General features: G+C 41.0%; 1 protein-coding gene across 7 annotated transcripts in view, besides 2 other annotated features; it reads right to left on the bottom strand.

The window, feature by feature from the left end:
• PPP1R36 (protein phosphatase 1 regulatory subunit 36) overlaps positions 1 to 13,749 on the bottom strand; it is a 39,421-nt gene that overhangs the window by 11,839 nt on the left and 13,833 nt on the right. For 6 of the 7 annotated variants that reach the window (XM_047430998.1, NM_172365.3, XM_047430999.1 and 3 more), the window contains 5 exons: positions 12,706 to 12,792; positions 12,089 to 12,186; positions 11,851 to 11,917; positions 9,096 to 9,194; positions 2,954 to 3,088 (listed from right to left, as the gene is read on the bottom strand). In XM_047430998.1, the coding sequence (XP_047286954.1) occupies positions 2,954 to 3,088; positions 9,096 to 9,194; positions 11,851 to 11,885 (269 nt within the window). In that variant the 5' untranslated portion in view covers positions 11,886 to 11,917; positions 12,089 to 12,186; positions 12,706 to 12,792. The remainder of the gene's footprint in view (positions 1 to 2,953; positions 3,089 to 9,095; positions 9,195 to 11,850; positions 11,918 to 12,088; positions 12,187 to 12,705; positions 12,793 to 13,749) is intronic. The other variant, XM_011536468.4, reaches the window with a different exon arrangement.
• Positions 3,861 to 4,397: an enhancer, noted in NCBI's record as "NANOG-H3K27ac hESC enhancer chr14:65039864-65040400 (GRCh37/hg19 assembly coordinates)". NCBI's record gives its function as "activates a minimal SCP1, AML or CMV promoter by ChIP-STARR-seq in naive H9 embryonic stem cells {active_cell/tissue: H9 hESC(naive)}" and the evidence as "EXISTENCE:reporter gene assay evidence [ECO:0000049][PMID:30033119]".
• Positions 4,078 to 4,372: a silencer, noted in NCBI's record as "tiled region #828; HepG2 Repressive non-DNase unmatched - State 23:Low". NCBI's record gives its function as "represses a minimal TATA promoter and a strong SV40 promoter by Sharpr-MPRA in HepG2 cells {active_cell/tissue: HepG2}" and the evidence as "EXISTENCE:reporter gene assay evidence [ECO:0000049][PMID:27701403]".

The raw sequence follows: 13,749 nt of genomic DNA, 5'->3' as shown, positions 1-13,749 counted from the left end.
AATGCATGTCTGACCCTGTGAGAGAGGAAAGGCAGGAGGGTCTGGGTAGGAAGGAACTCAGACAGAGGCACAGCTCTAGGAAAGTTTTGACCAGGCCAAAGGGGAGTCCTCAAGCTGACGCTGTCAGTCAGAGAAGTCCCGCAACTGTGGGGAATGGGCTTGCTGCACCCAGACACTGGCAGGAGGCAGCCTGTGGGAGGCATGGTGCAATGAGCTGAATGTTTGTGTTCCCCCAAAATTCATATGTTGAAATACTAACTCCCAGTGTGATGGTCTCAGGATGTGAGGCCTTTGGAAGTAATTAAGTCACGGACATAGAGCCCGTATGCATTGTGTGAATTAGTGTTCTAGAAAAGAGACCCCAGAAAGCTCTGTCATCCTCTTTCTGCCATGGTGAGGATACAATGAGAAGCTGGCAGTCTGCAACCTAGAAGAGGGCCCTCACCAGAGCCTGACCATGCTGGTATACTGATCTTAGACCTGCAGCCTGTAGAACTCTGAGAAATACATTTCTGTTGTTTATAAGCCACCCTGTCTATGGTACTTTGCTATAGCAACCCAAACAGGCTAAAACATGTGGCCTCAGTGCAGACCTGGTGGTGGATTCAGGTGCAACAGCTGGGGCCACTGCTCAGTTACGCTCCCTGAGTGCCACATTTTCATCGTCCCATGCTGGAAAGCAGAACCAAACTTGTCAACTCCATAACAGAACTGCAGCAACAAAAACTTGAAAGCTGCAGAACGGATGTAGTAGAATAAAGAATGGGTGTTGTCAGGAATACACATTAAGAGTGTATTCCCAAATCATGAAAAATCACACACACATGGTGAATCAAATCACAGAGATGCTGGGCCTTGGAAGTGGATCGAGGACATCCACCACTATAGAAACAGGGGTGCAAGAGAAGAGAAATGGCCGACAACGCCAAGATACAACCAACAAAACAAAGAAAGTGAGCCTGAACTGAAAGTATATCGATGCAAACATCAATAAATATCAAGTTCCATCTGAGAGAAACTTCATATGTATATCTGTTTTTTAACTTTATAAACTAATATACGATCCTTATGAATAGCCAAGAAGAAATTAGAGAACATATGCCTGTGCCTCTCAGACCCTGGGTAACTTGGAAAAAATCTACCCAACTAAAGAACGAATTAGGGCGGAGTGCCGTGGCTCATGCCCGTAATCCCAGCACTTTGGGAGGCTGAGGTGGGTGGATCACCTGAGGTCAGGAGTTTGAGACCAGCCTGACCAATATGGTGAAACCCCATCTCTACTAAAAATACAAAAATTAATCAGGCATGGTGGTGTGTGCCTGTAATCCCAGCTACTCGGGAGGCCGAGACAGGAGAATCACTTGAACCTGGGAGGCAGAGGTTGCAGTGAGCCGAGATCACACCATTGCACTCCAGCCTATGGGGACAAGAGCGAGACTTTGTCAAAAAAAAAAAAAAAAAAAAGATACTCAGTCAAATAAAACATCTTTAAGCTTTTTATACACCTTTAAACTATCAAAAATATTAAAGTAATAAAACCCAATGCAACCAGATATACTTACTGCTGATGGTAATACAAAATGTCTTAAACTAGGCCAGGCGCAGTGGCTCACACCTGTAATCCCAGCACTTTGGGAGGCCGAGGCGGGTGGATCACGAGGTCAGGAGATCGAGACCATCCTGGCTAACATGGTGAAACCCTGTCTCTACTAAAAATACAAAAAATTAGCTGGGCGTGGTGGCGGGCGCCTGTAGTCCCAGCTACTTGGGAGGCTGAGACAGGAGAATGGCGTGAACCCAGGAGGCGGGGCTTGCAGTGAGCCAAGATCGTGCCACTGCAGTCCAGCCTGGGCAACAGAGCAAGACTATGTCTCAAAAAAAAAAAAAACCCCAAAATGTCTTAACCTTTATAGAGAACAATCTAGCAGTATGTATCAAGAGCTACAAAACTGTGGCTTTCTAGGTAAATATACTGTGGAAAATAAGCCATAAGGAAATAGTCCAAATGAACAAAGAATATTCAATGCAGAAATATTATAACACACAAAAACTAAAATTATGCAAATGTACACAAAAAGAATGGTTAAGCAAATATGTATGTTACATAACAGAATCCTATTCAAAGTGGTAAGTGAAATCACATAGTCAGAATAATAAGAGAAAGTACCCAGGAAATACAGAATACAAAAATGTATATACCAACAACTGTGTAAGTATGCTCATTGACAAAGCTGGTCTTTGAAAATGTGGAGAATGTAGAAAGAGACACATCATGTACTAGGTTCTTTTCCTATGGGGGGAATAATTATTTTCCTATGGGGGAAAAAAACTGTTCTGGCTATGACCATGAGGTAGATCTGGGGCCTGTTGTGAAACTCAGAGAAGGAGATTCTGAGTTAAGGGTTGATGTGTTCGACCTTGTGATCCCAAACCTGTGATGAGACTCCTCTTTAAGTTTTAATTACAGTGGTGTAAAAATAGTCATCCTAAGGTAAAAATGATCTTCCCACAAAGAACCATCTTAGAATCCACACCTCAGCAGCTCCTACTCACAATTGTTGCTGCTGCAAAATAAGCAGTAAAAGGATAGGGAGACACCTAATCCCCCTGCACTACCGGCCCCACCAGACCTCCTGCCCAAGGGAGCCAAGTCTGGCAGCAAGAGCCCTTCCTGGTTGAGAGCAAGATTTCACTGAGAGACCATGTCATTCAATCTCAAGCAGTGGAAAGTTTTAAAAATATCCGCTGAGATTCTGAGATTTCTTCCACATGCACTTTGGTCTCTCAAAGGAGACATTACAAGGGTTTGGGACAGATTCTCACCTGAGCCCAATTACTCTGGACAACAGAAAAAGGAACATTTTCTCAAGGTAACAAAAGTCAAACGGAAGCATCTTAAGGATGTGAGTCTATGATGGAGTGATGATCTAATGAAGTGTAAGTATCTGCTTACTTTCCACAGCACATGTGATGCTTATCCGGCACGGCCAAGCCCAGCACAAGGATACAGTACTTCTGCGCCAAGTACCTCTGTGCTGCTTCTAATTCACTTAAAACCAATTCCATTTCTTTTTTCTCTACAAGGCCTCTGATGGGGAGGACAAAAAAAAGAGAATTTGGGTTAATTGTCATAAGTGCCTATATTAACTAGCAAAAAGTCAGAATTATAAACTTTTCTTCTTTTCTTTAAGACAGAGTCTTGCTCTGCTACCTAGGCTGGAGTGCAGTGGTGCGATCACAGCTCACTGCAGCCTCAACCTCCAGGGCTCAAGCAATCCTCCTGCCTCATAGGCGCATGCCACCATGCCTGGCTAATCTTTTTTTATTTTGTGTAGAGGCAGGGTCTCACTCTGTTGTCCAGGCTAATCTTGAACTCCTGGACTCAAGTGATCCTCCCCTTGGCCTCCCAAAGTGTTGGGATGGCAGGCGTGAGCCAGTGTGCCCAGCCATAAACTATTCTGAAAGAAATACAAGTGAGTCAACAGACTTCACTTACCAATGAGTTTATGTTATTTAAGCAATGGTATAGGAAAATCCTTAAAGTCCCTTCATATTTAATCATTGGAATCAGCATCTCAAGCTTATGGTGTATTTTTGCTTTTTTTTTTTTTTTTTTTTTTTTTTTTTTTGAGACAGAGTCTCGCTGTGTCGCCCAAGCTGGAGTGCAAGTGGCATGAACTCGGCTCACTGAGACCTCCACCTCCCGGGTTCAAGGAATTCTCCTGCCTCAGCCTCCCGAGTAACTGGGATTACAGGTGCCTACCACCATGCCTGGCTAATTTTTGTATTTTTAGTAGAGACAGGGTTTCACCATGTTGGCCAGGCTGGTCTTGAACTCCCGACCTCAAGTGATCCACCCACCTTGGCCTCCCAAAGTGCTGGGATTACAGGCATGAACCACCACACCCGGCCTATTTTCGCTTTTTTAATAGATTATGTTATGTATCCTCAATTTTATATGCAGGTAGTCCTAATTTATATAGAACAGCTCAATTAACAAATTATCTATACTGGTTGCTCAGGCGGTTAGCAGCCTACTTTCCTGCTATTTTCCTAAAACAACCGTGGAGGCTACGTACCTCAGCTTCCCCTGCGTTCCCTATGTCACTACTGAGCTTGGGGGCTCAACATGTGAACAAGGACCAACTCTCCATTTTGAGTGTAGCTGTGTTTGCTAAGAAGGCATCTGTGAACTACTACTCTGGGAACTTTGGCATCAGTTACAATAACACTGCTTCCCTGTGAAACCAGCTGCAGTTCCAATTGAATTGCAAATGAACTTTCACAAAGACAAACTGTTCTTAGGTTACAGCATGTCTGAAGCCAAATTTTAAGTTTCTGCTATACAATACAGTAGGAAATATTGCTGATGATACATTCCAATGTACTGTTATTGAAAAGTGAGTTGTACTCTTATGGAAAAGTGAGGTGTCACTAGACACCAAATGATATTTACTCTAAACAGGGACAAATGACTGCCCCTTCTGATATAACCATTGGACTGACTCCATGAAGTCAGCAAGAACAGTTATTATTATCCTTAATACAAAGACAAACTGTATTATCCTTAATACACCCCCTTCCCCTCATGGCATGGAGGATATAACCCAAACACACCCCTCCAGATGCACCCCAGTGGCCACACCCCTGTGCCTGTTTCCTTCAGCAGCTCCACCCTCACTGGTCACCCTACTCTGCCAGAGCTGCCAGTAGCTAATATTCTTCTTTTGCTGTAGAAAACAACCAAATCAAACTACAGCCACCAAGGAATGCCTTGAAGCTTTTAGGCCAATGCTTCTCAAGTTTTAATAAACCTATGAATTATGAAAGAATCACTGGGGATACTTGCTAACAGTGCAAATTCCCAGTGCAACCCTCTCTCCAAGATTCTGGCTCAGGAGTCTGGGTCTAGCCCAGGAAATTTAAAACAATCTTCCCAAATGATTCCAAGGCAAGTGGTCCCTAGACCCCATATGCACATATACATAAAGAACTGATGTGTTGAAATGGAAAAAAAAGGAAAAAGCTATGAAAAAAAAATACTCAAGAGAAGCTAACCTATATACAAAACTCCAGGCAGAGGTGGCCTGTTTGCACCACATTTCTGTGTCTGGAAACCATTCCCCCATACTGTTTTCATCTAATTTTGTAAAACTGCCTTAAATACAAAGCCAGTTAGTGGTTCACTTTTAAAGCACATTCTTTAAAAGTGCAAACAATAATGCTGACAAAATTTTGTTGAAACGGATGCGCTTATGCATTGCTTGTAACAGAAAATTGGCATAATCCTTTGGGGAAAAAAACTGAAAATAATTTCAAGAGCCATAGAAATTATCATAAATTTTGATCCAATATCATCTCTCCTGGAAATTTATTCTTTTAAAAAAATCATCCAAAATTAGGAGGAAACTTTTATGCATGAGGATATTCAATGCAATCATTATTTATATATCAGAAAAATTAGAAACTGCCAAAATATATAAAATAGAAGGTGATATGGTTTGGCTGTGTCCCCACCCAAATCTCATCTTAAATTGTAGCTCCCATAATTCCCATGTGTCATGGGAGGGACCCAATGGGAGGTAACTGAATCATCGTGGCGGGTCTTTCCCATGCTGTTTCATGATAGTGAATAAGTTTCATGAGATCTGATAGTTTTATGAGGGGTGTTCCCCTGCGCATGCTTTCTTGCCTGCCACCATGTAAGACATGCTGTTGCTCCTCATTCGCCTTCCACCATGATTGTGAGGCCTCCGCAGCCATGTGGAACTGTGAGTCCATTAAGCCTCTTTCCTTTATAAATTACCCAGTTGGGTATGTCTTTATTAGAAACATGAGAACAGACTAATACAGAAGGATAAAGGGAGCAGCAATACGGTCAGGTATTGTTTAAGGACTTGATGCTTATTAACCTAACTTATGAGTGAGTCTTCCACGAGATGTAACCCAAGCATCAAAATCTGTACCCTTAACCACTATAATATACTGCCTCTTAGTAGGTAAGTCAATTCACACACATTGGCTTGATGGAAAACTATGCTACCATTAAAAATTATAATTATGAAGATTATAGTAACTTGAAAGTACATATGATATTATGTTTAAAAGTACATACAGGCTGGGCACGGTGGCTCAGGCTTATAATCCCAGCACTTTGGGAGGCTGAGGTGGGTGGATCACCTGAGGTCAGGAGTTCAAGGTCAGCCTGGCCAACATGGTGAAACTCTATCCCTACCAAAAATATAAAAAATTAGCCAGGCATGGTAGCACATGCCTGTAGTGTCAGCTACTCAGGAGGCTGAGGCAGGAGAATCACTTGAACCCGGGAGGCAGAGGTTACAGTGAGCCGAGATTGTGCCACTGCACTCCAGCTTGGTTGATGGAGCAAGACTCCGTTTCAAACAAACAAACAAACAAACAAACAAACAAACAGTACATACATAATTGTTCAGAAGCTAAAAATTCTAATTACGGACAGATAAACTCTGGAAAACAGTGCAGTTGATTGGTGGGAAGTGCTGGGCATGTTGTACAGTGATTAAGGCACAAGCCTTGGAGTTAAACAGACCTGGGTTCTAATATCAGTTCCACCTAGGAACTGTAATGTCATCTCCTAGGTATGGTACGTAATCCCCAACAAACTATTTAACCTCTGTGAGCCTTAATTTCTTCATCTGTAAAATAGGGATAAGGCTTCTTCTTTTGGAAGTAGGGCTTTTAATCACCTGACATCAATTAAGTGTACCGTTGCCATCCATCTTCACCCTTTTCTGCTTTCCTCTCACGGCTGTAGGCTTTCCTCCCAAGTGCCATGCACTGGGTTAAGATACACTGTCTCATCTACTTCTGTATAATAACTCTGTGAATTAAATGCTATTACTATCCCTATGCTCTATCTTGGTATTTGAAATCAGTTTTTTTCTTCTGTGCAGATACCTCAATGCAATCAATATTTAATTCTATTATAGTAAGTAAACCAACTGACCACAGGAAGCCTGAAAATAAAAAGTTGTAATTTTTATTTTTAGAATCACACCATAAACTCCATACTTTTTTTTTTTAAGGCGGAGTCTCGCTCTGTCGCCCAGGCTGGAGTGCAATGGTGCCATCTCGGCTCACTGCAACCTCTGCCTCCCAGGTTCAAGTGATTCTCTTGCCTCAGCCTCCTGAGGAGCTGGGATTACAGGAGTGTGCCACCACGCCTGGCTAATTTTTGTATTTTTAGTAGAGATGGGGTTTCACCATGTTGGTCAGGCTGGTCTCGAACTCCTGACCTCGTGATCCACTCGCCTTGGCCTCCCAAAGTGTTGGGATTACAGGCATGAGCCACCGTGCCCGGCCAAAATCCATACTTTTAAGGCTTCAATTGGTTTGTTTTTGTCAATCTGAGTAACTGATTCCTTCTAAGGAACAGTCTACCTTATACCACTGTGTTCTAGTATGTTTAGTGCATCTTCAACTAGAAAACCTGTCTTATTATCTATTCTTATCAATTAAGAAAGTAGGCCAGGCACGGTTACTCACACCTGTAATCCTAGCACTTTGGGAGGTTGGGGCAGGCAGATCACCTGAGGTCAGGAGTTCGAGACCAGATTGGCCAACATGGTGAAACCCCATCTCTACTAAAAATATAAAAATTAGCTGGGCGTGGTTGTGGGCTCCTGTAATCCCAGCTACTCAGGAGGCTGAGGTGGGAAAATCACTTGAACCTGAGCGGTGGACGTTGCAGTGAGCCGAGATTGCACCACTGCACCCCAGCCTGGGTGACAGAGCCAGACTCCAACTCAAAAAAAAAAAAAGAAAAGAAAAAAGAAATTAAACAAATCTTTTTGCCAGATTAGCAATAAGCCTCAGAAGAGGAAATACGATAAAAAAATGTAATAAGCCAAAGTGCCAAAAATGTCTAATTACGTTTCATTTGGAAATAGTAAGAATCTTCAAACCTTCTAAGTCCACAGCTGGCTTTAAACCCTTTTGCTTGCTACCATAGAAACATTTCATGCTCTGGCTGCCCTGTTGTGAAATACAGTCCCAAAATAACACTGATATTGTATATTATGATGGCTTTACAGGAACAAGAGTTTTTAAATTATTTATTTGGTTCTTTACAAAACTATCCAGATACATTTATTCTATCCATAAGATGTTTTTCCAACTGCTTGATTGTATACAGGGTTTTGCATTTTGAAAACATCCTGCAGCAACAACTTAATTACTCTACCCAGCATTCCTAACAGCTAAATCATTGGGTTGGTTCCACACGTACTGGGGAGGGCAGCCTGGCGTGTGGAAAGTTCCATGGCTTGCAAAAGGTCACCAAGGCTGAGAGGCATTGTTCTGCTCTGTATTCTGAGTTCCCAGATTCTTGCCCTGGTGTACACCTCTGCGCCACTTCTGCCTAAAGCTAAAGCATTTAAATTCTTTATAAGTAGCCTAAGAAACCTTGAATTTTTTTTCCTGTGATGTGGAATGCCACTTTGGCCAAATATATTAATTTTTTTAATTCTTAGATTTTTTTTAATTGGATGCTTACAAGCCCTTTAGCAAGAACTTTGTAAGCATAAAAAGCACACAAACAACAACTATATCTGCACCTTCAAGATGGTTGCCACTAGCCACATGTGGCTACTGAGAATGTGTCTAGTATGAATTGAGATATATTATAGGTATAAAATAGACACCAGACTTACTACAAAAAAGTAACACATCTCATTAATAACTTGATATATCAACTACTGTTGCATGATAATATTTTTTGCATCACTGGGTTAAATAAAAGACACTATTAAAATTAATTTCACATGTATCTTATTACATTTTTAAGATATGTTTACCAGAAATTTAAAATTACATACATGGCTTTCATTATCTCATTACTGTGCAATGCTAGTCTGTATCAGTTGGAATATTTTGTTGCTGGACTACACATATAAATTATCCAGTGAGCTTTAAAAACTGACACACTCTTCCCATGTAAAATGTCTTAGTACATCTCAAAGATTTAAAAATTTCCATCATCTCTTTATCCTAGACAAAAGTTACTTTTAATACTGGCAGTGATAAAACTCTAAAGCACACTATAAAATCTTACTTACACCATATAGCTTTTGGGTTTCTTTTCCAGTGAGTTTTTTTCCAAGTAATGGGATAAGTAGTACAATAATGCCATGAGGAAATTATCAAGATTCTTATTCCTATGGGGAGATTTGAAACAACAAAAAAAGAGTCAATGCTAACCTATTTCAAATGTAAGATTTCTCATAAAAAATATATGAGCACACAACACAAGAATAAGTAGAAAACTATGTTATCATGCCTATCAAAGAACTAATTTACCACTTAAAATTATATCTACTATATATTTAAAAATTTAAGAAATCTGGTTTTTGTAAGTAAAACTTTTGGAGAGGTCAAACACTAAATTCTTATAGTTGTGCTTACTAATTAATTTTAATTTTTAAAAAGTTATTATACAATATATTTCCATTGTTTAAAAAATGTAGAGAAATGTATCAAGTAAAAATTCTCTCCTCCTACCTCTGTCACCATCCTACTCCCTAGTGGTAACCACTATTAAGAGTTTGGTATGGGCCAGGCACAGTGGCTCATGCCTGTAATCCCAGCACTTTGGGAGGCCAAGGTGGGTGGATAACTTGATGTCAGGAGTTCGAGACCAGCCTGGCGAAACCCCATCTCTACTAAAAATTACAAAAATTAGCCGGGCGTGGTGGTGCATCCCTGTAATCCCAGCTAGTTGGGAGGCTGAGGCAGGAGAATCGCTTGAACCCAGGAGGTGGAGGTTGCAATGAGCTGAGATTGTGCCACTGCACTCCAGCCTGGGCAAAAGAGCGAGACTCCATCTCAAAAAAAGAAAAAAAAAGAGTTTGGTATGAATCCTTTCTAAACTTTCGAAAACATAGACAATCACATGTAACATCCTCCTCCACCAACATATACACATGTACATGAATATATGCCTTCAAAATGTTTTTTGGTAATAAGTGGCGTAATACTATACATACAATTCTTTGCAACTTGCTTTTGTCACTTTTCTGCGTAGCATAGACCTCTTTCTATGATATTATATGTAGATTTCCGTCTTTCTTTTAAAGAGCTGAATAGAATATTCTATACCTCATATTTACCTAGTTTTCTATTGTGGGTATTTGGTTTTTTTAAAAATATTATAGACAGAAGTGAAATTGCTACCACAGAGTGTATGTGCCTTGCTCTCCAAAAAGGCTGCACTGATTTACAATGTTCTCTCATTTGTTTTTAACTAGAAGTCACTGTTTTCTTTCTAAATATTTTTCAAGACTTTTGCTGCCTTCTTTGTGGCCCCAGATGGAAATTCTTTCTCTGGCATTGCTTTACTGAACTATACCTAAAGAGCAGGATGAGGGTGAGCATTACAGATTTTCTTTTCAAGATATTAATAACTCCCTGTCTCAGGCTGGGTTCCCCCAGCAACAGACACTGGGCCAAATACTTGAAAGTGAACAGTTTAGTTGGGAGTGATCTCAGGAAACATCAGTAAGAAAGTGGGGAAATGAGACAGGAAAGGAAAGGAAGCCAACAAAGAGGCTGTTAACAATTAAGTGGAGTTCAGTCCTGCAGTGACTCTGGGAGACAGTGTAGAAAACATCTCAAGAGTTTACCTATCAACTCCTCCACCAGCAGGGCACTGAATGAGGGCTGCTTCTAGGGCACTGATTCCCTAGCTCTGAACTTGCCCTGCAGTCAGGCTGAGTGTGTGCCTGTGGTGGAATGAGCCCTTCAGGCCGAGTCTCAGGCAGTTGCCACAAGCAGCCTGTATGTGTGTGCAGAGGGAATGGGGAGGGGTGCAAATGGCATCGGGCACCCAACTCTCACTGAGCGTTCGCGGTGCTGAGGCCACGTGAGGCACAGCCACGCATAGCCATACAAAGGGCCCACAATTACACAATTACTTCCCAATTTTGTAGCTGAGGAGACTGAGGCTTACAAAGGTCAAGAAACTTACCCAGAGTCACACACCTAGCACATCCTGGGGCTGCCAAACATAACTAGTAGAGAAAAGTGATCTTCAGTAAATGGGTATATCTTTTTTTTTTTTTTTTTGAGAGGGAGTCTTGCTCTGTCGCCCAGGCTGAAGTGCAATGGCATGATCTTGGCTCACTGCAACCTCTGCCTCCCAGGTTCAAGCGATTCTCCTGCCTCAGCCGCCAAAGTATCTGGGATTACAGGCATCTGCCACCACGCCTGGCTAATGTTTGTATTTTTCTTTTTTTTTGGTCTGAGAGAGTCTTGCTCTGTCACCCAGGCTGGAGCGCATTGGCACAATCTCAGCTCACTGCAACCTCCGCCACCCAGGTTCAAGTAATTCTCCTGCCTCAGCCTCCCAAGTAGCTGGGATTACAGGCGCCCACCACCACGCCCAGCTAATTTTTGTATTTTTAGTAGAGACGGGGTTTCACCACGTTGGCCAGTCTGGTCTCAAACTCCTGACCTTGTGATCCACCTGCCTCGGCCTCCCAAAATGTTGGGATTACAGGCGTGAGCCACCGCACCTGGCCAGTAAATGGGTATATCCTTTAACTATTATATAAAAATAGCACAGTCCATGTGAGACTCTGACAGCATGCTCTCCATACTACTTGCCCTGGGATTTTATCTGGGGTTCCCATGACTTCTGGCTTCCTCTCCCTGACTCTTTGGTCGCAGTCTTTGTGACTAGGTCCTGAGAGGATGGCTTGCATAGAGCCAGCCTCACGCTCTTCCTCTAAAAATCAGATTTGTCATCACTTATCAGATGAAGTTACTGAAAAATAAAGGATAAAAGATCTAAAATGACTCATAAGCAATAGATACCTCATAAATGTTGTAAAAGAACAGATCCGCTGCATCTCAGTATCTTGTAGCAAAAGCAAAGTAACAACTGAAAAGAGAAAATGAACAATTGAGAGAGGGACAAAGAGCTACCTTAGAGAGTCACACAAGATACGTTTATGTATGGATGTTATATGTAGATGGGCGGATGTTTATGTATGGATATGTGTATGTATGTACAGATGTATGTTTATGTATGCATAAAGAAACAGTTACTCACATTTAACATCATCCAGTGTAATGGTGCCCTGTTGACCTCGTTTCTCTACAGCTTTAGCTGACTTATCATCTTTTGCAGCAAGTCTTTTATCTGTCAACCTGTTTTGGAATATAACAGTTTCTAGTAGTGTTTTAATATATTTTAGTTGTATTTAATCTATCCTGAGGTGCAGGAAGCATTTATTAAAAAGTAATAAGAGCCTGAGTGTCATACATGGGTTTTGTTTGATGTACGATCATTTTGGAATGCTTTTTATTAAACATTTTATTTACTATATTAAGGCAAGAGGGATGTTCACTGCCTGATATAAAATGTAAGTACAAATACCATCCAAAATAGATCATTTAAATCATCTGTTCTGGTGTACCTATCATTTTCAAATTTTAAAAAACTGTAAAAAGTTGAAGATGTGCTAACAGCCAAGTTAACAGGATACATTTATCGGGACTATCGTAATTCCCACCATAATGCTGAAACAGCACATGTTCTTTCTTTGATGGGTATTCGCATTGCGACCTAGAATAATGGGAATGGTATTTTCGTAGTTTGTAAAGGCTGAAGCCATTCCACTGAGAGATGCTATCAGCAACTCTGGCATGATTGGGAAGTTAATCTACCTGTCTGAAGCTGGACCATCAGTTTCTGCAAAGTGAACTGCTTTGCCTTTCTTTCCTTTTTCCTTGACTTCTGCTGCAGGTGTAAAACTGCAATAAAAATGAGATAATTAGGGACTTCACCTTTTCCAGGGGAAAACAAGTCAAATCATATCATAGCTCATAATCTTTGGACTAGCATATATTATCAGCAGATCTGAGACACAGCAGTGTTCAATTCATCTATTTATATATGGAACACTTATCTAGAGAAAAAATTAAAACTTCAGACTTTACATTCAGCCTCTAACCATCAGCAATCTCCAGAATACCACCACACACAGAATATCTGAAAAATATTGTAGTAACTTCATAAGAAACAGAAAGCTCTTGGTAAGTTTGAAAAGATTATTTATTGAGGCACTTGTTATATGACAAGTGCTTTTAGGCACAATCTCATTTAACCCTCATGGAAACTCTAACACAAAATATGATCACCATCTTTACATACAAGAAAAATGGAAACTTAAAAAGAAATTAAGTGACTTGACTAAAATAACAGCAACTGGCAAAGTCATGAGCGGTGCCCAGGTTTTTAGCCACAGAGCCAAGTACTGAGCCACCAGGCAATCCTGCCTCCCAAACAGCAATCTCAGTATTCACTGCTGTGGACTCTTCTAAAGGCCTCAGCCATCTCCATCTCCAGGTAGGTTTCAGGACCTTTTACTTAACTCAGAGTTTCTTAGCATGTTGTACAAGCACTACTAAGCCGTAATGAGTTTGACTAACAAAGGAACCCAATTAAACAACAAACAAATCTATACCGACGATCTGCTATGTGTTAGGAATTGCTATGACATTGAAAATAAGATGGTTTCTGATCAGAGCCATTGAACAGACTCTCGAGAGTCTCAGCAAATGCTAACAGAAAAACAGAGAAAAGTGTTTTGAAGACTAACAGGACGAGGTTCCTGCCTTATAAATAGTACATTTTCTGGGAGAACTGTGGTGTCTGCCAAACCCATTGTGGGTTATAACAATGCCACATTGATAACACAATGCCGAAGT

The sequence above is a fragment of the Homo sapiens genome, chromosome 14, assembly GCF_000001405.40.
Source record: "Homo sapiens chromosome 14, GRCh38.p14 Primary Assembly".
Taxonomy (NCBI): domain Eukaryota; kingdom Metazoa; phylum Chordata; class Mammalia; order Primates; family Hominidae; genus Homo; species Homo sapiens.
The sequence above is the reverse complement of the archived record's forward strand: the minus strand, read 5'-3'. Positions and strand labels throughout refer to the sequence as shown.